Below are 25,114 nucleotides of genomic sequence, written 5' to 3'. Positions count from 1 at the left end.
ATATACCTCTTTTATAATGTCAACCTGCTTTTTGAAATTTAACAAAAGCATAAGCACTTTGTGAACTGTCAAGCCACAATCGCAGAATGTATTGACTTCTAATCATCAGCATGGAAGATGTCAAGAAAAACATGGAAAAGACTTAAAAGTTTGAAGGGAGAACAGAAGGGAACATACAGATACCTTCTCATTAGCACATACTTTGTAACCACTTTGTATAAATTTAGGTTTTTAAAAAGTTTTGATTTGACAGGGTTAGATTTTCTTGTTAATCCTATATCACAATAACAGTTTTGAAAAGATACGCTATTGAACTTTCATAACATAGGTGTGAAGGCCGTATTTGTTATTATTTGAGAAATAATTGAAAAACCTCAGTAATGGGTGAATGAGTAAGAACTTGTACATTCACTGATACCACCCACCAGTCCCCCAAATCTGACTCTAGATTTGCGGGCATTGATATTCTAAAAAGGGTATTATTTTTTAAAGTAGTTGGGCCCATTCATTACTTTTAGGAAGAATCTGAATGGGACAAGGCAGCTTAGTAAATAATGATGTTGAGCTGAACTGCCTCCCTTTTACAATACATGCCATTATCTGAGTTATAAACTGTACATATTTTTGCATTTTAAACCTACGCAGAGTAGCATATCTTTGTTGCTTTCTTTCTACAAGCTTTGTGGAAATGGAGAAAGGCACTTTTACTTGAAAAATGTACAGACTTGGGTTCTGAATTCAGACTACCTTGATTCTTTAAGCCTCAGAGCAATTCATCATCCTTTGCTTCTTATAATGTACAACTGTCAGTAGTTGCTAAAATATGTATATCTTACTGGGTCTGGGAATCCCAAGCTTTCTTCAGCAGTTCTAATTGCTTGGCTTATGTAAGTGGGCCCCATAATAACCCTGTTAGAAAGGCCCTTGGATTGGTGGTTTGGGTGCAGTTAATGCAAACAACTCATTGGGTCATTAGGAATCAGCCTGGAGAAAAATATCACCTGTTTATTTCTTTTAAAGGACCAGAAGGAAACATCTCCTACGGAAATGAGATTTGTTCAGACCCTCCAGGTGTTGTGGATGGGAAAATATGTCTTGTGTTATAAATAAAGACAAGCAAAGTGGAAGGAAATGCTAATCAAAAGAAAGTGATAAGATCCCCAGTAAGGGGAAGGGAGTGAAAAGGATGTCCTTGAGGTTAAGGTTTGCTTATCACTTTGCCTTAAACCTCTATTAAAACCTATTGTGTATTGACTGTTGTGATATTTGGCAGTCTAGAAGTCAGACCACCTTCGTTAGAATCTCAGGCTCAGCATTTACTACCTGAGTAGTCTTTGGTAAGTTAGTTAACTTCCCTTTACCTCATTTTTCTAAGCTGGAAATGGAGTTAATGGTAATACATGATACAGCTGTCAGGATTAAAGGAGGTATTGCATGTTAAGCACTTAGAACAATGTGCTCAGTAGGATGCTGGCTGTTACTGTTTTAGAGAGTGTTTTTCAGGCATATTTAGATGTAGCTACTTAAAATGTCTTGCACTAACTTTTAGAAAATTCCTGAAAGGCTAATTCAACTATAAACAGAAGTTACAGTAGCTAGAGTTGGTGGTTCGGCTCCTCTGATGCTATTAAAGTATTTCCCCAAATACAATTATGGATGCCAAGATTATCAACATTTTATGTTAAGTCAAATTTTACTTACTTGTATGAGTAGTAAACAAATTTACTAAAATTTGACCTAGTGTATTTCTCTCCATGTTGCTTACATATAAAGTGAGCCATGTTTATGGTCCATTAGAAATATGTTTATGGACCATGTTTATGTTCCATTAGAAATGTTAACCAGTCATTTGAGTGAGTCATAGACCTAAAATGCCTCGCCTTACTATAAATTACTTAATGTAGATCCTGTAGCTACTCCCTTTGTTGCTTAACAATATTTGATAATTTAATTTTAAAAGTTTCTCAGATGACAGGCGGGAAATATCTGTTTGAAGTCTTTTTTTTTTTTTTTTTTTTTTTTCCTTAGCAGAGCAAATGTTTGACTTGATCAAAGAAACATTGTTTGGATTTCAGCTTTCCTTTTTTGGCAACTTAGATGGTATCACCATACTGTTTATTGCTGGAAAGTTTTTTTTTTTTTTTAAATAGGGAAGACATAGTGTTAAACTAATATTAATATTTCACAGCCTGACTGTCTTTATGAGGACACTCATTTAAATACTGTCAGGCTGAACACAAACAAGAGGGTTGGGGTATTACTTTATTTTTTTTTTCAGGAACCAGTGGAAGAAAAAAATTTATAACTGTTAAATTTTATTCAGATATCTTGCAGTATTTACACTCAGGTAGAAAGGCCTGAACTGTTTTTCTCAGTCTTATATTCTTTAAATGAATCACATAATCAATTTTTACCTGTAGCTTTACATGCCTTGAAAAGTAAGAATCCACAGAAGACTAACTTTCACTTCTTTTTCATGGGGATTCTTTCTCCACACCTGAAGCTGCTGAATTAGTTGATGAAATGTTTTTCTTTTGTTTTCATATTGATCAATAATTGCTCATGAATAACTTCATTTGAAATTAAATAATATCACAGAAATTATTGAACCAGCTTAAGATAGATTATTTTAAGTGGTTTCTTGGTTTCCTTATAATTACAGAAAGTCTACCTATAAACTTGACGATATTAAATTTTCAATATCAAAAAATAAATTATACCCCACGTTTATGAAGTTATAGCAAAACACTGCTTGTGGGAGTGTACATTAGCACATTCTACCTGAAGGGCAATTGGGCAGTATTATATCGAAGAGAGAAAACACAAATAGGAACTGATAGGTGAGACGTTACCCACAGAGTTGGTTTTCTTTCTTTTAAAATTTTTTTTATTTAATATATTTTCTTTTAATTTTTAATTTTTATGGACACATAGTAGATGTGTATATTTATGAGGTACATAAGTTATTTTGATACACGTATACAATGTCTTATTAAAATTAAACTTGTTTTAAGATAATTCTAAGTTCACCTGCAGCTGTAGAAACAATACAGAGAGATCCCATTGTATCCTCTACTCAGTTTTCCCCAGTGGTAACATCTTTATAGTAAAATATCACAAGCAGCATATTGACATTGATACAGTCAAGATACAGAATATTCCCCTCACCACAAGAATTCTTCATGCTGCTCTGTGAGCCATACCCATTCCATCCCACCCTACCCTCCGTAACTTTTGTCAACCACAAAGCTATTCTCCATTTCTATAATGTTATTTCAAGAATGTTCAAGTATTTTTTCAGTCACAATCTCTTTCTCTTCTCCTTCTGGGACTCTGATAACATGAATATTAGGACTTTTGTTGTAGTTCCACAGGTACCTGCAGTTCTGATTATTTTTTAAGTTATTTTCTATTATTCAGTTTGGGTAATTTCCATTTCTATTTCTAAGTGGTAATTTCTTTTCCTTCACTGATTCTTTCTTCTGTCCCCTTCATTGAGCTCATCCACTGAGATTTTTATTTCAGTTACATTTTTCAGTTCTACATTTTCATTTGGTTCTTCTTTATACTGTATATTCTTTTTCTTTGCTGAGATGTTCTGTGTTGTTGATGAAGCCTTCTAATTTCTCATTTGTTTCAACTGTGAACATTCAGAAGTACTCATTGAAGCATTTTTATCATGGCTGCTTTAAAATCATTGTCAGGTAATTCTAACATGTCTGCCATCTGGGTATTGGCATCTATTTGATTATCTTCTTTAATTCAGTTTGAGATTTTCCTGGCTCTTATATGATCTTATGAGTGTTAGAGCTTAAGCTTTCTGTTTTAGCTGCCTTCCTCTTACCACTCTGGCAGAAGGTGGGGGTGCTACCAGGTGAAGATAGAAGTCCAGGTTCCCAATTCCACCTCTGTTGACACCTAGGAGATGGCTCGTCATTTCTGCTGAGTGGGAGTGGGAGTTCCAGCTCCCTATGTGGTCTCTACTGGTACCACAGTGCAGGTGGCTGTGATGGTGACACACTGAGTGATGATGAAGATCCTGACTCTCCACTAGGCCTTCTCTGATATCACCCCAGAGGAGTGGAGGGAGGGGCAGTTCGTTATTGCTTAGTGGGGGTGGAAGCCCAGCCTCCCCACATGGTCTCAACTGACAGGATGATCTGGGGATGAAAATTCTGGCTCCCTACTTGGCATTCTCTAACATCTCCCGGCAAGAGTGTTGGGGACCTTGTCATGGCATTGCAAGGATAGAAGTGTAGGCCCCCCATTTGTCCTTTCTTGGCATGAGTGTGAGTGGAGCAACCATTTTTTCTGTAGTGTTTGGTTGGAATAGAGTGGTTATTGTTTAAAAGTTGTCTGTTTTGCTAAACTACTCCTTTCCTGGTTCTTTGGCTAGAGAGAGCAGGCTTGTTTTGGGACTTTGTACCCGTTTAGTGTTGTGTGGTTGCTAGTTTTTCCAGTATTTAGTCTTAGATACGTGAGGCAAAAAGAAAATCCCAGAGAACTCACCACTGTGTTCTTCCTTGTGGCCCAAGGTCCATGGTAGTTCTGTCCTCTTCTCTCCCCTTTGTGGAATCTTCTTATGTATGTTTTATATATAATGCCTGGGATTTGTAGGTGTACTTACCACGAAGAACAGAGAAAAGCTAATGTACTCCATCTTCCCATGAGTTGGCATAGTGTTGCAGAGTTTTTAAAGTATGAATTTTTAAAAATCTAGTTTCTTATCTCCACCCATCTTTCTCCCCACCTACCTGTTCTCCCACCTCATCTGGATTTCCAGATTCCTTTGAAAAGTTAGAAGATCTGGCAGTACTGGACTTGAATAGCCAAAATGTTCATTCCTCATTAATTCTTCCAACTGAGGTCATTTCAGTGATCATTTATGGTTGGTACTGTGGTGTCACAGGCCCATTTTATTCATGGGAGGCACTGGGGTTTATCCGATGGAAGACATTGAAAATGTTCGTGCTCTTTGACTTGATAGTCACTTCTAGGAATCTACACTAAGGAACTAACTAGAGATGCCAACAGAAATTTATATACAAATATATTCATTATAGGGTTGTTTGTATAATAACAAAAATGCAGAAAGCTTAAACGAAAATCCAGGTATGCTAGAATATAATGGTATTATTTGAAAATCACATTTAAAGGAGTATGACATGGGAAATGTTCATACTAAATGAAAAAGCAGGATATGAAGCTGTTTATACAGTGTCATCCCAGACATTTTTTTTACAAATCTTTCTCTCTTGATTTGTGGAAGAAAATTCACTACAATACCAGCAGTGTTAAATCTAGGTTTTAATTTTCTTCTGTATGTTTTTCTCTGCTTTATGAATTTGTACTGTGCTTATAAATTACTGTTTTAATTACTGTTATGATCAGGAAAATAACATTTATTAAAATATTTAAGAATGCTCTTAAAAATGTTTTCTGCCATTATTAAATGAGATGCTTAAAAATTATACATGAATCATTTAGGGGTATACTCTGCATATATAGAGATGTATATTTACACATGCATTTATAAACATAATAGTATAATAAATAAATGGGGATATTCTATTCTTTTTGCTTGGAACTATGTACTTTGATAGCAGAATGTTAGTTGCATATCATAGGAGTTGAAGTGATGGGTGAAATGATTAAAAGATGGTACCTGGCTGTTGGCTTTCATAACTGTTAGATTTGGACAGTACTCCTAAGGTGCAAATTATTAAGACTGCCTGAAAAGAAGGCAATAGTGCTAGCTGTCCTAAAATCATTAATGCAGTGCTATAAATCCAGCATGTTTTAAGAGCTTGTGTTTAATTACTCTGTGGAAAGTTCTCCTTTCTTTAAAATTTAGTCATTATCACGAATTATTTTAGGATGCCATGAGGAGACAAGCTCGGATTTTCCACTTGTGTAATAAGGATATTTCAAAGAACTGTAGATAGGTATTTTCTGGCATCAGGAACGGGAACGTGCTGACCTAATTATTTATCTTTTGTTTAGTTTGACCAAGCAGCTGATGCTGAGTTATCCTGGATTACTGAAACAGAAAAAAAATTGATGTCTCTGGGTGACATCAGGCTTGAGCAAGACCAGACTTCTGCTCAGCTTCAAGTTCAAAAGGTGAAGAAATACATTTCCAATTGCCATATGAATTATTTGCTGGTGTGCTCCAACTCTATAAAATGTGCTTGTATGATTTACTTTTTAAGACCCCTCTAGTGTAACGTGATATTTTTAACTACTTAGCCTAATTGTTTTCATTTTAGTCATACAATTTCTTGTTTTATTTTTTGTCTTTATTTTGGTAAATCACAGACATTCACCATGGAGATTTTGAGACACAAGGATATTATTGATGACCTTGTTAAATCTGGGCATAAAATCATGACCGCATGCAGTGAAGAGGAAAAGCAATCAATGAAGGTATAATCTTGTCTGTGGACTGGTAGTGGGACTCTTGAAAAAACAGCAGGTGTTGAGCTTTCAGTCCTAGAAAAACACTTCTCCGTTATCCACAGCTGCCATTTAAGCAGCAAAAATAATTAGTTTAAATAAGGCATTTTTCAAGTTTATAGAATAACAGTGAAAGGAATATTTCTTAAGAGAATCACTATGAGGACAATCTTTTTGAATAGGCACAAAGGCTATTAAGGTTTGAGACCTTGGTTAACTGGCACGCATTAAGCATTCAGTTAATGTTAGCTGTATTATTACCATTATTATCAGTATAAATTATTGTTTTTTATATGTATCAACTATTGTTTATGTGCTTCAGAGACATTTGGGCCTCTTAATAAAAACCAAAATATGTGGCTCTCTCTAATGCTGAAATCCATTTTGTATAAAGTTACAGTAAGCTATATAGGGAAAATATGATCTGAGTAATTAAGGAAGCATTCAGCTTGTGTAGTTTTAATTATCCTTTAATTTGGCAGAAAACCAGCCACAAATAAAAATGTTCAATTCATATTCAGACATCTAAGCAGCCTGAAGAAATTGATGCATATTCATGCTTCTGGTAGGAAAGATATCCCATGCATGGCAAAAAAAATAGGAATCTCTATGCCTAAAATCATATTTTAAAGAGTATGCATTGCTTTTAAGGTAGACCACAGATAAAATAATAGGATGCACAATGTAATGATATGCACTCTTTTATTTATTTATACTCTACAATGGCAATTTGCTTGTTTATAATTGAATATTATTTTTATAAAGACTCTGATGTGAAAAATACAGATTGTTATGAAATAATTTCTTTGTTATTCTGTGGTTTATTGAGTTATGATTGTGCTTTATCTTCTTCTGCTATTAGTTTTTGCTATGAGTTTATACCATAATCTAGATCACTGTGACTACCCCATTAAATCCGTGTATAGCACAATGGCAAATGTTCTGCTTTGATTCCTCTTTCTCTTTCTCCTTCTCTTTCTCTTTCTCTTTCTTTCTCTTTCTCTTTCTCTCTTTCTCTTTCTCTCTCTCTCTCTCCCTCTCTCTCTTTCTATATATATATACACACACACATATATATACACATATACACATATATATGTGTGTGTGTATATATATAATTAAATTTTGTTAACTAAAAATTTTGACAATTTCATTTGCAAAAAGTGGTCTTTATTTTTTTTCTGCAAAATATATGTTGCCAGAATCATATGGGACTTGTTTTCTAATCTTGAAGCCATTGTAAGAATGACTGGAGAATTGTGTGTATTGTTTTTGGAGATCTCAGTGTCTTATTCATAAAAACTTGAGGCACTTTAATTTAAAGTGAACTTTTGTACGTATAAACCATTAAAATCTGAATAGCTTTTACTGATGTATTCATTTAACATATATTTGTCAAACGCCCACTCTGTCCAGGTGTACTGTGCTGGACAGAGCACTCTGGAGTGTGTGTGCTCGTTGGCCTGACCAGTTAAACATTTCATCCTTTTATTTTCTAGAAAAAACTGGACAAGGTACTGAAGAACTATGATACCATCTGCCAGATTAATTCAGAAAGGTATCTGCAGCTGGAACGGGCACAGTCCCTGGTTAACCAATTCTGGGAAACATATGAAGAACTTTGGCCATGGCTGACAGAAACACAATCAATCATCTCTCAGCTTCCCGCCCCAGCCCTTGAATATGAAACTCTAAGGCAGCAGCAGGAAGAACATCGGGTAAGCCTGGTGTGAAAGAGAATATTGTATTCCCCATTAAAAGAGAATCATGATTTTTATGGTGGTTTTTAGTACAGTTAAACACTTACATGATTAAGGCATTTTAGAATACCGTGTTCTGGTCTGTGTAATTTGCTTACCTCATAATTGCTTCTTATACAGGGTTATAGTGAGAAGACTCATGTGGATATACTTGTTGTATATGTCATTAATTACATCACAACTTTTATAAAATATGCAGTATAAATCATCTAGATAGAAAAAATTCCCATTTAAAAATGTTATAGGATTAAGCTTTTGAAGTGCTTTCAATTTACACACATTGAATTGTTTTAAATTTATACATTTAGAATGTAAATGCAGAGTGGAAATATATGGGAGAACCATTATACAGACAAGGCCATTGAGTTTGGAGAAAATGTGTAATATAATGAATGTGTCAAAATAGCAATATTATGAAAGCTATGAAAAGGAAAAATGATGAAGTATAAAGACAGATTATTTTGTTCACCTTAGGTACATGGAACTCCTTTGAAGTTCTTGTTCCTGTAAGTGTAAATGGGTAAAGTAGGAGGAGCACATTTACAACTACAGTTACATCACATTTTAAACATGTATGAAATGGCACATAAAGCCCTCTTTTCAGCAGTCACTTAATTGTTAATATGGCTTAAAATTTTGTAAGGGTTTATGTGAGAGAGCATTCCAGACTGTCAGAAAAAAACTAGATTTCTTGCTATTTATGGACTTGTGAACCTAGTTGCTCTTCCAGATCTGTACAGAATGTACTCTGAGACTAATCATGGTGTGCATGTGTGTGTGTATGCGCATGAGGGGGTGTGTGTGTGTGTGTGTGTGTGTGTGTGTGTGTATACGCCTGTGCCCAAGAGAGAAGGAGGGAGAGAGGGAGAGAGAGAAAGGGAGGGAAAAGTTCAATTCAGGGTTTATTACATCATTGTTTGGAATATGTGACATCTTGTTAATCTTGTTTGTTTACCTTTTTAATGAATTGGCATTGAAGACTATACTGAAGTATTTATTTAAAAGAGAGTTTTAGAGACCACACTTTAACTTTATTTAATATAGAACAGGAATCTTATGGAGTTCTATCTAAATGATTCAGCAGGAGAAAGACAAGTATGTAGAATTCAATTTTTGTATAAAGATTTATTTGTGGCAGAAATCTGATATCTACTTACTGAATTATTTTAAATGAAAAATGTTTCATGGATTTCTATGCTGAGGTGATTTGAATAGCCACATTTTTAGCATAGCATCAAATAGTATGGAAAGGCTCATTATTGAGCTGAAATTTTAAAAATTGAGTTTTTTTGCCTTTTTGCATAATCTTTAAGCTCTCAAAACAAATTTGTGATTGTCTGTATAAAGGGAGGTACAAAACTTTGTAGCCACATCTTCAAATTGTTTAAACTAAAAGCTTTGCTGTTGCAGAATATTTGTAGCCTCCTAGGATGGCATTTCTTTTCCAGCTCTACAGCATCTTCTCCATGTATTTTGGGGGAAAATCTAGTTCATTCTAGCCAGGAATGAAAAATGGCTCCAAGGGCCATGTTACCACATGATAGATATCAAGTCACACCAGATAGCTCCAGCATGACTGGACTCCTATGACAGCATGTGCCAAGAATCATTTTGTCACATATAAGGCAAAAGGCATCTCCTTTTGGGCCCTTTTCTGATACACACACATACCTGAGTAGATGGCTGGTAGGTGTTCTCTTGCCTGTCATGGAATGGTTTAAGAAGGGTTTAAAAAAGGCTCCTCGGCCAGGCACAGTGGCTCATGCCTGTAATCCCAGCACTTTGGGAGGCCGAGGCAGGTGGATCACCTGAGGTCGGGAGTTTGAGACCAGCCTGACCAACATGGAGAAACCCTGCCTCTACTAAAAATACAAAATTAGTCAGATGTGGTGACTCACGCCTGTAATCCCAGCAGTTTGGGAGGCCGAGGCAGGTGGACCACCTGAGGTCAGGAATTCGAGACCAGCCTGACCAACATGGAGAAACCCCATCTCTACTAAAAATACAAAATCAGTTGGGCATGGTGGTGCATACCTATAATCCCAGCTACTTGGCATGCTGAGGCAGGAGAATCACTTGAACCTGGGAGGCGGAGGTTGTGGTGAGCCAAGATCGTGCCACGGCACTCCAGCCTGGGCAACAAGAGCAAAACTCTGTCTTAAAAAAAAAAAAAAAGGCTCCTCTCACTACTTGCCAAGCCAAGTTGCCTTATAGTGATGCTATACAGGTGAGATCTACCTAGACCCAAAGGAACTCCAGAAATATCAGCAGAGATGTAGCATTTTATTTGAGAGTCTCTTGATAACTCTTGAGTGAAAGCTTGTTTTCCAAGCATTCCTGAAAGAACATTGACAGGAGAACGTATGTAACATCTTCAGTTTTCCTTTTCCATGAGATTATCTATAGCTGATATACCATCACCACCTCCATTCGGTAAAGCAGCATGAAGATACCTAATTATGCCAAATAAAAATAAAAACTTGGCCTGGGACGCCCAGGAGCTAGATTGCAAACATGGCCCTCCCACATTCTTATGTGCAGCATGCTATATTAGACTCTTCCTTCTTTTAAAATTGAATTCATCTTTATTTAGCCCTTTCTAAAACTATTTTGAGGCAGTCTTTTGAAAACCTTCAAAAACATTTTATTACATTGGTGATAGTTAATGATGTAATTCCTCAACAGGTTCTCAAAATAATGCTCATAATTGATTTTAGTAGACACTTTCAATAAAAATCTAGGTATGTGGCCATCCTGGTGACTGATAGAAATTAGAGTTTGCAGGAAAAGATTGGTAGCTTATCTCTAGACCATCTTTCCTGAAAGTAAGATTCCCCAGAGAAGCTTTTGTGAGGGGCTGGAGTTTGGAGATACACATTCTGGTGAGGACAAAGAGCTGCTGATGAGGGAACCTAATCAATAATGTGGTGCAAATGAAAGACCCCTCAATGCTGCACAGAGGCCAGCCTCAGAAAAACCTGCAAGCAAAGGCAGATCTTCCCCCTGGGGGTGGCTTTGGTTTTGACCCATGAAAAACTGCTCATTGAAATCCATGGGATCCATGAGGTGTATGTATTCTAGCTTTATTCAGGCTTCCAACACATCTTCTCTATTAAAGGGAATGGGGATCCACTTGAATTCTACACCCACGCACTAGTATAAATATCATTGTATTTCTTGATTAGCTAGCAAAATTATGCACATTCATATGACATGTGTTTTTCCTTAAATATACCTTACAAACAATGCTCAGTATATAGCTGTGTATTGATAGATTGCCCTTGCAGCCTTTAATATTTTAAAATAATGAATATAGATTCATTCATATGTGTGTCTATATATCATATATATATAGAATAGATTCATACATAAATATAAAATGTAATACATGTTCATTCATTTTATATCAGTCCGCATATATAAATGCAATGCCTTGTGGGCTTACATCACCCTAACATTCCTTATCTTGAGGTTTTGTCTCAGCATTGCATCTAACTTATATTGAGCTTCTTTCTATTCTTTTTTCTTCCTTCCCTTCTCCCTCCTTCCCCCCGTCTTGTCTCTCTCTCTCTCTCTTTTTCTTTCTTCTATTTTTGTATATATCATGAGTGTGCAGAAAGGAACACCATCAGATATGACTTGGTGTCTGTAGGTTGGGGACATAGCGAGTTCAGAATACTTTTATATAATATGACCCTAGGCTAATGCTCTTGTCAAAATGTGCTACTCTTGGTATGAGATGCATAATAAACTGGGATTCATTATTTCACTGAACCAGCATCTTTGTACCCTAAAGGGTCTTTGGTGTGACCAGACTGTTGTTTAATCTTTGTGTCAGGACCTTCTCTTCCTGGCAAAGAGCTGTATGAGCCATCATGTGTTAAATGCCTTGTGATGGGGAGGGGTTTGTTTGGAGTTTCTTGCCAGCTGGATGCATTGCAGGTGTAGACAGCTGTAATATGGAGGTGTGACCCTGAGATACTGAAAAGCTGTTTGGTTTGTTATAGCAACTGCGTGAGTTGATAGCTGAACACAAGCCTCATATAGATAAGATGAACAAAACTGGGCCACAGTTACTGGAATTGAGCCCTGGGGAAGGCTTTTCTATCCAAGAGAAGTATGTGGCAGCCGACACCCTTTACAGTCAAATTAAAGAAGATGTCAAAAAGCGTGCTGTGGCACTGGATGAAGCCATTTCTCAATCAACTCAGGTAATTGTTTACACTAGATATAGAATTGGGTTCTTGCAGACAACAGAGCACAGAAAGACATTTTCCTGGATTTCCTGATTAAATTTTAACTAAAATTATTTCACCACATTCACTCTTGAGTATTGATGTCTGTGTCCCTCAGAGGTGATGTTTGCTTGCATCCAGCCTTTATCTCCTTATCTTTCTCTGCCTGCTTATAGATATAATACAAATAATTTTCAATGACTTAAGAAACGTGCAGTTGTCATCATTGTCTGAATATTTAATTCAGTGTCCATCCTGAGTAGAATGTAATATTTGCCATTGGGGGAGATAAAGGAAAGTGTTATAATTATTAATAAAGTACTCTCAAGAAGGCAATGAGAAGAAAGAATGATAGGCTAAATGAAAAGAAAAAGAATATAAAGTTGGATATTGATGGTTTTTTCTTTTCTGAAAATATCTTTTTTCAAGAAGTTGAATTTTGAAATACCCAAAGATTTTCCATTTTCAAGATTTGGTTTTCATTATTAGATATGGCACATTAGAGTGGGCCAGTGTCACAATCCTGTGTGATTATTCCTTTAACTTTGAGATAGTATAGAACAAAGTTCATTCATAGATGTGAATGAACAAGTTTTTATAGCTTTGCTTAATTGTCTATGGAACCTTTACAAATAAAAATTTTACATTCTCTCATGTGTCTGATTATGTGTTTAACCATGAAGTAAATAAAAACTTCTGACACTTGTAACTTCTGTTATATCAGAAGTTACAACATTGGGGAGGTTTTTTGTTAAAATTTTTTTTAACATTTTTCAATTCAGGAAATGCATAACTTAAGGATTCCCTGGAATCTAATCAAAACTTCCCATGAATTTCACATTAAATAATATAACTTTTCAGGATGCCATAATAGTTCATTAAAAATGAAGTAAACAATCCATTGTAATAGACAAATACTCAGCTTATTGAACTTGATTTTTAAAATTAATTTGAATTATGATAACAGGATGAAGCAGCAGGTAAAGAGACATTGCTGCCATGTCGTCCTGGTCCAATTACATATTAATATATACCATTTCTTAATGGATACACTCAAATATTCATAAGAAACTAAGTCTATTGTACATAGGTAGTGTGACAGAGGTGCATATACTTCATGATTTTAGGCATGTCTTCACACACCAGGTGGATGTAACTTTTGAATGGGTCTGTTGATAAAGAGGCTAAGATTTATTCTTAATTCTGACATTAAATTGTAAAAAATGTTTTTTCATTTAAATTTCACACTTGGTATTACAGATCTTTTTTCCATAAAAGATCTCTTTGTTTTGCCCCTAGTTCCATGACAAGATAGATCAGATCCTTGAGAGCCTGGAACGCATCGTGGAACGTCTGAGGCAGCCACCCTCTATCTCTGCAGAGGTTGAGAAGATCAAGGAACAGATCAGTGAAAATAAGAATGTGTCAGTAGACATGGAAAAGCTACAGCCGTTGTATGAAACTCTTAAACAGAGGGGAGAGGAAATGATTGCTAGATCTGGGGGGACTGATAAAGACATATCTGCCAAAGGTAATACTTTTGGAATAGGGAAACAAATTTTAAAGCATTCTAAATGTTTATGCGGTTTACTCACCGTCCAATTGGATAACAAAATGCCGCATCTTAAAAAAGATACTACAAATGTGATGTGTTTAGGGTTGAAGGGCTGTGTATGCAAATCCCTTGTTAATGTCTTCCTGTGTTTGTGAAATTATTTGGTTGAATACAAAGCGTGCCATTATACATAGACCATGTATAAAGACCATATGTTCAAAGACCATGTGTATTCAGGCCTTTTAAATCAGTAGGTTGAAGCATATTGCTAATAAGGCCATATCTGGGGTTTTTTCCTCATTACTGACTCTGCTACCTTACATAGCATGGATCCTGCATCACATAGCCACAAAAATGGGAACCACTACCACAGCCAGCCATCTTTGAGATACGAGCTGAGGGTCAAAAGGGAGAGCATGTGCGTAGTGGAAATTCACAATGAGAGTACTCTAGAAGCAAGCCCAAAGTACATACCATACATTGTTACATTCCTGGGACTGAACGGACAATTTTACTCTTGATTTGGGGAGCATAAAAGTGTACCTAGGTGATTATTTCACTCCCTTTGGGATTAAGGATAGCCTTAATGAACTTGAAACTTGATAAACTTGGTTCTACTCTGAGCTCACTTTTGTCAGGAAGAACCTTGGTTTGGCAAGAATAGCAGACCCAGAGATATTATGTTATTTGGCATAGACTCTTGGACCCACTGATATCCACTGGACTGGGGTCATTCAAAACTTGGTCCAGTTTTAGATACTTAGCAAATTGGATCACTACTTTCTGTGTGAACTATAACATTCTGCTTTGTTGGTTACGTGGGGCTAACCAGTCGCCTTGTGGATATTGTTTTGCTTCATAGCTGTTCAGGATAAGCTTGACCAAATGGTTTTCATTTGGGAGAACATACACACACTGGTGGAAGAGAGGGAAGCCAAACTACTGGATGTGATGGAGCTAGCAGAAAAGTTCTGGTGTGATCACATGTCATTGATAGTTACCATTAAAGATACTCAAGATTTCATCCGGGACCTGGAAGATCCTGGAATTGATCCTTCAGTAGTAAAACAACAGCAAGAAGCAGCAGAGGTAAGCAGAAAATCTCATTTAAAGTTAGAAAAATAAGTTGTGGCATAATGAAATCCAGATTCCTTGGGTAAATGTTAGGAGTTACTCTGTTAACATTTATATTTGGTTCTGAAAATGGAATGTGCAGTGATACAGTAGGAGATAGAGTATACCCACAAATTTCACTTTGAGATTGTATGTTTAAAACAATTTCTCAGGCCTGCGTGGTGGCTCATGCCTGTATTCCCAGAACTTTGGGAGGCCGAGGTGGGCGGATCACTTGAGGCCAGGAGTTTGAGACCAGCTTGGCCAACATGACGAAACCCTGTCTCTACTAAAAGTACAAAAATTAGTTAAGCGTGGTGGTACACACCTGTAGTACCAGCTAGTTCGAGGGTGAAGCATGAGAATCACTTGAACCTGGGAGGTGGAGGTTACAGTCAGCCAAGATCGTGCCACTATACTCTAACCTGGGCGACAGAGTGAGCCCCTGTCTCAGAAGACAAACAAAAACACAAAACAACAACAACAAAAAATTTCTCTTTATCCTCACTGTTTTTGCCTTATTTCAGGGCCTTATTATCTCTCTCTTTCTTTTTGGCTTCCAAAGTAATCCAAAGTGCAGACTGTCTTTTCCTTGCTAGGCCTCTGACCTTGCTGCCAGTCTTCTCTCTAGATCTGCTCTTACTGTGTTGCTGCCTAAACCCCGTCAGAGGCATCCCCTGCCATCTGGATCAAGCCCAAACTCCCTAGAGCAGGGCATGCAGCTTTTTGCATGCCAGCCTAGCTCATGCCTATGTTTCCAAAGTTATGTTTTTCTCTTGCTCCTTTACCAAACTCCCTCCCTGCTACTGATTAGAAAGGGCGTTTCCCAAAACAAACTGTTTTGCTCTTTCTAGCGTCAGTGCCTTTGCGCATCTTATTTCCTCACTCTAGAATGTCCTTCCTGCCACTCTACTGGCAAAGTCCACTCAGGGTTCAGTTGGATCATTACCCCCATGTAAAACCTTTTCTTGTATACTTAGCAGAGTTAGTGCATCTGTGTTCCCGTAATACTTTATTCATGCAAAGGACTCTGCACATAGTATGGTTTACTGTTGCTTATGCCTCTGTCTTTCCTGCTGTAGTGTGGGCCCCTTGAGGGGAATAGCCATATCTATTTTTCTTTGTATCCCCAGTGCCTGGTTTAGGGCTTGGTTTATGGTTATTCAGTGTTTGTTGAATGAATGAATGTATTTAACCAAGAAGATGAAAGCAAAAGTAGGATACTGCCTTTCTGTTGTGGTATCTTTGTACCTTACAGGTCCTACCTGGTCCTGCCTAGGGTAATGACATAAAATGTAAATCCAAAGCTAGATTATTCTAAATCTACTAACAAATATATTAATTTGTATTGTTTTTGGATTTATATTTTACTTGTCTATGTTAAATGTATATTGGTTTGGAAACCAAAATGTCTTTCTAAGCCTTACAGTATTGTTGATATTTTTAAAAATTTGTTTTGGTATTTGTTAAGGTATTTCTTATTTATCATTTCTTAAATATCTTTATAATAAACATTTGACATTTGTTACTAAAAGGGTGCTGTTTTTCTTTTAAAATATTTCTTGTTGAAAAAATTTATTGCAGAAACTTAGAAAACAGAAAAATGATTAGAATGCCACCTTCTAGAAATAACTACCATTGATATTGTTGTGTACTTTTTAAAGTTTTGATGTGGTTTTGCTTAAAATTCTAAGGCTGTCATTTTCTTATTCTAGACCATAAGGGAAGAAATAGATGGACTACAGGAGGAGCTGGATATAGTTATTAACCTAGGTTCTGAACTCATTGCGGCATGTGGGGAGCCTGATAAACCCATTGTCAAGAAGAGTATAGATGAGGTACAACTGGCTTACTTATCAGAATGGCTTTTAAAAAGTTTTTAGTTAACTAAAATATTTTGTTAACAGTAGTTGAAAGTTTAAAATATGGCACTAAAAGAATTCTAACATACATCTTGTAGTTAAATTCAGCATGGGATTCTCTAAATAAAGCTTGGAAAGACCGGATTGACAAACTTGAGGAGGCAATGCAGGCTGCCGTTCAGTACCAGGATGGACTGCAGGTAAGGGGATTACAGTGTATGTGCTGGTCTTAGCTGGAAGGAGGAATCGTACTAATTGATGTCTACATATTGGCACCACCTCAAGATCTGCCAGTGCATATGCAATTGTGGGCAAATTATTCCTGCAGTTGCCTGTGTATCTCATTTCATGTTTTGTCTTTTAGAAGATATTTCTGACCTTTCAGATATGTGTAGATTTATATACACATCTAAACACATTTCTGTATACACATTCAGTGAAATTTACTTTGAAAAGAAATATTTTGATTTTTTTTAAGTGAAAGTAAATGTTCTCACACAGTGTTTTTTATAAATGGCTCAGCACCAGACAGTGAAATGGAACTAAATGTGAATTCTGTTCTGAGTGGAATAAGATGAAAGGAGTAAACACTATCTAAAAATATCACCAAGTTTAACTAAAGTCAGAAGTAAAGAAATTTGATTTGAAGCCAGTGTTCTCCATGTACAAAAATAGATTTCTATTAGGTCATAATCTGGTGTGTAAAAAGTGTTTTCTTCTTTTCCATGTATATAATTTCTTTTAATAGTTGTTTTTCACTTAAGGGTTTTCATTCAGTTCATTAACCATTTATAAGGTTTTTTTTTAATATTAAAAATTATCTTGTCAGTTGAGGCCAACTCGGGTATATTTCTCTCCCTACCTCCCTTAACCTTGCTCCGTTTCCTAACAGACTGGCAGGAGTTTAATCTTTCATCCTTCTTACCATATGGAAAAAGCTTAAGTATTTCCATAACACTAAGTGAATATTATTTTTAAAGCCCAGATGAGAACATCTTTTCCTTTTTTATTATGCCATTCCATTTCTATATTTGTAAAAATAAATGTCACAGCTAGGCTTTATGCCAGCTGAGAAGTTTTTTGAACTTTGGAAATATATGAAAGATTTTACTACAAATAACACTTTATTATATTCTCCCTCCCTCTTCTTTTTTTTTTTTTCTTTTGTAACCTAAGTGATAATTTACTCTATTAGGTATCAATGACAAGTAACTAATTCGGGCTCCAGTCTGTGAGGCTAGGTCATTGTTAAATCATTGAGTTGTAATCTCTTCCATGGCTAGAGGTGGCAATGCCACCACATGCAGCCATTTAGGAGGTCACACGCAAGCCACCATGGCTTGTATAGTCTCTTTATCACTACCAGAAAAGTAAGGCCTGTCATAAGTCCTGTTGATCATGTATTAGTAGCATCACCTGTGCTAGCAAAGGGCAGATTGATTTATTAAGTAGCTACAGTACAGCTAGCTGTAGCTAGATGTCAAAGCTCTGGATGCTAATTTTCAAGATTTGATTGTAAAGTAAAATACGTTTTATTTCCCAGGTTGCTGCTTAAGTACTTAGTCAGGGTTGGCTAATGATAACTTAAAAATCCAAGATTTATCGCCCTACTATATGGTTTGTAAACTTCATTAAAGTGCAAAATATCCCAGTGCTTTGGGAGGCTGAGGTGGGAGGATCACTTGAGGCCAGGAGTTCAAGATCAGCCTGGGAAACATAGCAAGATCCTGTCAAAACAAGAGCTGAAGTACCCCATCTACAATTTTTTTTTCTTTTTTTATTAGCCAGCCATGGTGGCATGTGCCTATAGTCTGAGCTACTTGGAAGGCTGAGGTAGGAGGATTGCTTGAGCCCAGGAGTTTGAGGTTACAGTGAGCTATTTGATTGTGCCACTGCACTCCAGCTTGGGTGACAGAGTAATGGCAAAATGATTTTATTTTGTATTCAGTACCTAAAAAAAATGTGACTTGAGCCTTTTTAGACTATTTTTATTACCTAAATAAATAAGAAATGCAGGAGAGTCTGAAACCTGTTATAATTCAGAATAATGGTCTTAATGCTAATAATTTATATGTGCAGGATCTTAATGCTAATCTAAATAATATGTAAGGGTTTGAGTCAAATATTTTGCCTAAGTTCTAAACAGTAATTTCTTGCTTATTTGAATGAACAAATAGATTTGAATCTTTTCCTTTCAGTATATTTATACAAGCTGCCTTTTAAGCACATGTAATGAAGAATTCCATGTGATTGGATTCTATAAATGTTTTCAAATGATTTTTTTAGAAGTTCATAATATATCAAGAATCTATTGAATAAACAATTTCTTTTGCAAACTTGTATGTATCTATTTCATATTTGGGACAACCATTTTGGTATATTACTGCTTTTACTAATTTAGGTGAACCATGTTAATTTTTTATAAAATAGTCTAATTCTATAATATCTTTTAGATTTATGATTGTATTTTTCTGTAGTACTTGAAATACTGTAGCAATTTCAAATGTACTGTTGTAACAACACGTGGGCGAATGTGTCTTTCAGGCGGTATTTGACTGGGTAGATATTGCAGGTGGTAAATTAGCTTCAATGTCTCCAATTGGAACAGATCTCGAAACTGTCAAGCAGCAGATTGAAGAGCTAAAGGTATGTGTGGGGGCTAATTTATCGAAGACTCCCTTGCAGTTTTAAGTCCTTGATTCACATAATTTTGTACATAAATTTATTTTACCTAATGTAAGTATGACAGCTTAATTATAAAGCTAGTTTAATGTACATAGTGCTTTCACATGCTAAGCAATATATAAGTGTTCTTTAAATAAAGGAAAGAAATACTATTAATAGTTTTCTTTTTATAGTCAATTAATAACTGTTCGTATAGAAAAATCAGAAAATGCAAATAAAAAGGAGAAAAACAAATTATTTCAAGTCACCCAAAATGTTATATACCTAGAGATCACCTTTCTTAGATTTGATTTATAGCCTTTCTGATATCTTCATGTTAGGGACATGGGGTGTGTGTGTGTGTGTGTGTGTGTGTGTGTGTGTATGTATAGGTAGAGAGAGAGATGTATTTAGATAATAGTGTAAGGATTTTTATAACTTGTTTAACTTGTTTATTCAGTAGTATATTGTTGTCACTACACTAGTATGTTGTCAATACACTACAGCATCATTTTTCTTTTCCTGATATTTTTAATTTTAATTTTTAATTTTCGTGGGTACATTGTAGGGGTATATATCTATGGGTTACATGACATATTTTGATACAGGCATGAAATATATAATAACTACATCAGGGAAAATGGAGGTACCCATCACCTCAAGCATTTATCCTTTGTGTTGCAAATAATCCAATTATACTCTTTTAGTTATTTTTAATTGTACAAAAATTATTTTTGACTATAGTGACCTTGGTGTGCTAGCAAATACAGGGTCTTATTCATTCTTTCTATTTTTTTATACCCATTAACCCAACATTTTTATTTTCTTTAGAATGTTCTGAGTAATTAATTTAGTCTCAACAGGTTAAAAACACATCCATGATATAAGAATGTTTCCCAAAAGGTTTGTTTTGTAAATGTTTGTTGTTTTCCATTGCTGTTCTCTGTAGTTTTTGCTTTTGTAATTCTTGATCTGCAGATGTGAAAGTGGCTGAACTGTTTCCTCTTTGAATTCCTCTATACCAATAATCATTTATCAAAATGGGATCAGCTATTTCCTTCCCAATTTTAACTCTCCATATGCAGAGACATCACACTGTTTGCAATGAACTTTGCTAGATTTTATGTGAAAATATTATCTGGCTTTAAAATTGTAGCATTTTCATATCTAAGTGTGACATAGAATATTTCATTTAGAAACAAATTTTCTTTTTGAGAATTTTATCCTTACCACTAAATTGAAATTTTGTTTAACTTTAATTTGTTCATGTGGCAAACATATGATATACTTTATGTACAATTATGGGTGTGGATAATTTATTTTGGTTATTTTCGTATAGGTCAGTGATTTTTATATAGCAGCCTGGTTAGAAGTGCTCACTCTGAAATCAGGTTATCTGAGTTTAGGTCCAGGTTCACCCACTTAGGGCATATGGCCTCAGTGGTCTTACTGGTCTTACTAACTGGTTTTACTCCTATGTCTTTAGCTTACATTAAGGATAAAATTATTTCCCCAATAAGTGGGTTGAAAGTAACTTGAACATACCAAGTGCTTACTATACCTTTGTTATTATTTTCAAATTATTATTCATGTATTTTTGAACAAAGTTAAGGGACTTCTAGCCATGAATTTTGTACTGTTACATATTAAAATAAATATTTTATGAAAGGACAGTTACCTATTACAAGCAACTGTTTGCTAACCTGTTGGTTGGCAAAGCCAAGATGATTAACTATGTCAGTGACTTAGAAAGTAGAAGGAGAGAGAATAGCATTCTGTGTCAGCAGTGGGTGAGGCATAGGAATATTAATGAACACAGCACAGCTACAGAAAACATAAAATTATCAGGGGATACAAGATGTGTGTGTGTTTCAGAGCAGGAAATACTAATTTGAGTTTCTTAAGACTTTTTTGGCTTTCATATGTGTCAACATATGTTTCATTTTCTTTTGTATAATTTTAAAACTCATTTTTCAAATGCATATATTGGAATAAGTTCAGCCTTGAAATTTATTTTTTTATTGTAGAGAACAAAATGAAATGAAATGTCAAAATTATAAATAGAAACATCTATCCATCCAAAAATATTGAATAAAGAGAAAATATTTTCCTTATTTTTTTTGCCTATAATTCTTCCATTGGTAAGCCTCATGTGAGATTTTTACTTTGCGTCACCTCCCCTCAGTAAGTAGTGTGAATTAGAATAATGATATAACCAATAGATTTCTTTGTTTGGAGTTAGTGATTTTTAACAATATTTTCTTTGTATATCTCTTTTAAAATAGCAATTTAAGTCTGAGGCCTATCAACAGCAGATAGAAATGGAAAGACTGAATCATCAAGCAGAGCTTTTGCTAAAGAAAGTAACAGAAGAGAGTGACAAACACACTGTTCAAGACCCATTAATGGAACTGAAATTGATATGGGATAGCCTGGAGGAGAGAATCATCAACAGACAGGTAAATACCAAGACTTTTCTTAAGAAATTATAAATTTTCAATTTCAGATATTAATGTAAAATAATTATTAAAGATAAAATTAGAATTATTTCTGCTTCTCATATATTCTATTTTAACCATGAGGAGCGTCAAACTTAAAACATAGAAGGATATGATGATTAGGCTTCACTGGATACGTTTATGGACTTATACAACATGAAACAATTATTTTTGTCCTTGTTTTATAGACATGTCATTCATAATATCAAATTTATAAATGGATTTTCTTTCCACTTTTTCTGTAGCATAAACTGGAGGGTGCTCTATTAGCCTTGGGTCAGTTCCAACATGCCCTGGATGAGCTCCTGGCATGGCTGACACACACCGAGGGCTTGCTAAGTGAGCAGAAACCTGTTGGAGGAGACCCTAAAGCCATTGAAATTGAACTTGCCAAGCATCATGTACGTAGCTGTTAATGCATGTTATGTTTCTTCTCTGTCCATTTCTAGTGTCATCAGATTTCTTGGATATATTTCTTCTTTATGCGTGTTTCAAGTTTATGATTTTGACACAAGTTCATATTTGACATTTATAACTAAAGGTTAACTACTTAAAACATTATAGTCAAAATGTTTTTCTTAAAAGATTATGGTCAAAATATTTTTCTCATTCAAGGCAATTTTTATCAAACAAAACAAGGATGAGCAATTTGTACTAAAGTTTATTAGAGCTGCATGGCAAACACTAAAGATTTAAATCCTTAATTATACCTGTCATTGTGATAATGTCACCTATTTTTTAAAGTTGTTAGGGATAGCCTAAAAAATCATAGGCTGAAAATGTCCTACTGCAGGTTTTATGTATATTTTCACTCTGGTCATCCATATTTCCATGTCTCTTTCATTTGCAGCTTGTTTGTCATTTCTGACATATTTTTATCTGTCTGTACATCTCTTCTTATGTTGGGGCTTATCCCTTTGTCTCCATGTCACTCTTGTCTTTGACTGGATTTTTGTGTCTTACTCCTTTCTGGATTTTTTAAAGTATTTATTACGTTTTAAAAAGTTGTTATATGTCCTGCACTTGATTTAAAGCTAGTAAGTTGAAAAAATTTTGTCTTAAGAGATATATGCAAAGCAATCTTATATTGTTGTCACCTTTGTGACACTTCTTAATAGATCATTCCCTATCCCTTCAGTCACTAGACTTAATGGATAAAAGATTATGCACAGTAGAGTTTATCCTGGCATTCAACAATCTTTCATAGACTTTGACATTCACATTAATAGTGATATCTTCAGAGTCCTAAATCCTAAACTAAAATAAATTTTCCTTAACTATCAAATAGGAAATGTTTGATTATTTTACATATTGATTCACATTTTTTAAAAAGGTAGGTTTTTAGCACTGTATGCTGTACAGTTTTTGACTATTCTTGCTTTTGTTCTTCTTCTTTCATAGTTCCCCACAGTAATTGTTTCCTAGTTTAAAATTTTATTTTTCTATTACCTTGTCTATCTACATTGATAGTCATTGCCCAGCCACATTTGATTAAACAATTTGGATTTATTTTGCACACTTAATGTTGACATAGAAGCTTGTTTCATTATTTAATGTCTACATTATACATTTGCTTAAAGCCCTAATGACTGGTGAGACCAACTGCCTAGCAACAAAATATGTTTATTCTCATGGTGTGAGTTTATAGCTGCATTTACATTTTTATAAACCTATCAACTGTCTTAAAGGTAACATACATCAGGATAGGAACTTTGTATAATATGGTAGAGGTGGAAAAATGAGGCACCCTGATCCAGTTATTTTGGTGGGGGATAGGTAAAGACCTCTTACTTCTGTTTGTCTAATTTTAAGTACTTTGAAATGGCCCCTTTTCTCTTCTCTCTTTTCTTTCCATTCCTCAAAGATCAAAATTAGAGGACATAAAATTCCCAGCAGAATTGCTGGAGGAAGGGGCGAATGTTTCCGTTCCTTTCCTGCTTTCTTCTCCTACTCCTAAGCTCTGACTTTGTAGCAGGACTCAGACCATTCAGAAGAATGAATTTTATAGAACTCTCTTTTATATTTTGGCCATGAAAACATTTAACTTTTTGATTCTGAGAGTGATCCTACTCTTAACATACCAAAGTGAGTGCTTTCTATAAAGATAACTTCTTACTCAGTTGGTTTTGTTGGCTTTTAAAAACACTCCCTAACCAGATGCCTCAGAATATGAGTGAAAACAGTCAGAGAAACAGTGATGTCAGAGGGTTACTGATCTTCACTGAAAATCCACCCTGGTCTGAATTTCTTTCCAGATGTGTGATGTGTTACATAGGATGGGAGATAATGTTCTTTTTCTTTACTATTGCCAACACTGAGTCAATGAGTAAAGAGTAGGATCAACTTTTACCAACATTAGAGGGAGGTTTCTTCTGCTTTCCAAAAATGTAAGCATAGCCTCCTTGAAAGGAAACTATTAATATTACTAAGGCTATACTCATTCAGTAAAAGAAATTGATATTTTTAAACCTTAGGGTTGCTTTCTGCACTTACCCCATTTTAGTGCATTTAAGCGTTATTAACCTATTCATATATTTCCACTGTATAAAAGGAAGGCATTATTTGCTGGGTTCTGTAGTAAGCTTTTTATTATATATGTTTTCTACTTGAAGAACAACTGAATTTTGGAATACTGGGTTTAAGTATCTCTGACATAGAGTGTTAGTTTTAGGGCCTTCCAATATTTCAACTTAGCAGTCAATTCCAGGACCCCTCGTATGAGAGAAGATAAAGGAATATTCTGGAATTTTTTTTCTCTTTCAGAATGCTGATTGTAAAATATGGTACTGTATGCCTTAGACATGATAATTTTATATTTGAAAATGAATATATAGGAGTAAAATATATATTTTGGTTACTTGACATGAGAATTAAACTAAAATTGGCTTGAACCAAGTGAGAAATTTTAGAACCTTTTAATTATAATCTCTAGATATTTAGTGTCATCAATTGCAAGGTCATTCCAGTGGGA

At 35.2% G+C, this 25,114-nt stretch overlaps 1 protein-coding gene across 10 annotated transcripts in view; it reads left to right on the top strand.

Annotated features, from left to right (window-relative positions):
* The window catches only part of DST (dystonin), a 496,835-nt gene that overhangs the window by 431,207 nt on the left and 40,514 nt on the right, over positions 1 to 25,114 (top strand). For all 10 annotated transcript variants that reach the window (NM_001144769.5, NM_001374722.1, NM_001374736.1 and 7 more), the window contains 11 exons: positions 6,004 to 6,123; positions 6,319 to 6,426; positions 7,956 to 8,174; positions 12,224 to 12,427; positions 13,751 to 13,982; positions 14,869 to 15,095; positions 16,835 to 16,957; positions 17,080 to 17,181; positions 19,526 to 19,627; positions 21,931 to 22,104; positions 22,389 to 22,544. In NM_001144769.5, coding sequence (NP_001138241.1) covers positions 6,004 to 6,123; positions 6,319 to 6,426; positions 7,956 to 8,174; positions 12,224 to 12,427; positions 13,751 to 13,982; positions 14,869 to 15,095; positions 16,835 to 16,957; positions 17,080 to 17,181; positions 19,526 to 19,627; positions 21,931 to 22,104; positions 22,389 to 22,544 — 1,767 coding nt within the window. The remainder of the gene's footprint in view (positions 1 to 6,003; positions 6,124 to 6,318; positions 6,427 to 7,955; positions 8,175 to 12,223; positions 12,428 to 13,750; positions 13,983 to 14,868; positions 15,096 to 16,834; positions 16,958 to 17,079; positions 17,182 to 19,525; positions 19,628 to 21,930; positions 22,105 to 22,388; positions 22,545 to 25,114) is intronic.

Source organism: Homo sapiens, chromosome 6 (assembly GCF_000001405.40).
Source record: "Homo sapiens chromosome 6, GRCh38.p14 Primary Assembly".
Classification (NCBI taxonomy): Eukaryota; Metazoa; Chordata; class Mammalia; order Primates; family Hominidae; genus Homo; species Homo sapiens.
Note: the sequence above shows the minus strand (reverse complement) of the source record. Positions and strands in the feature narration are given on the sequence as shown.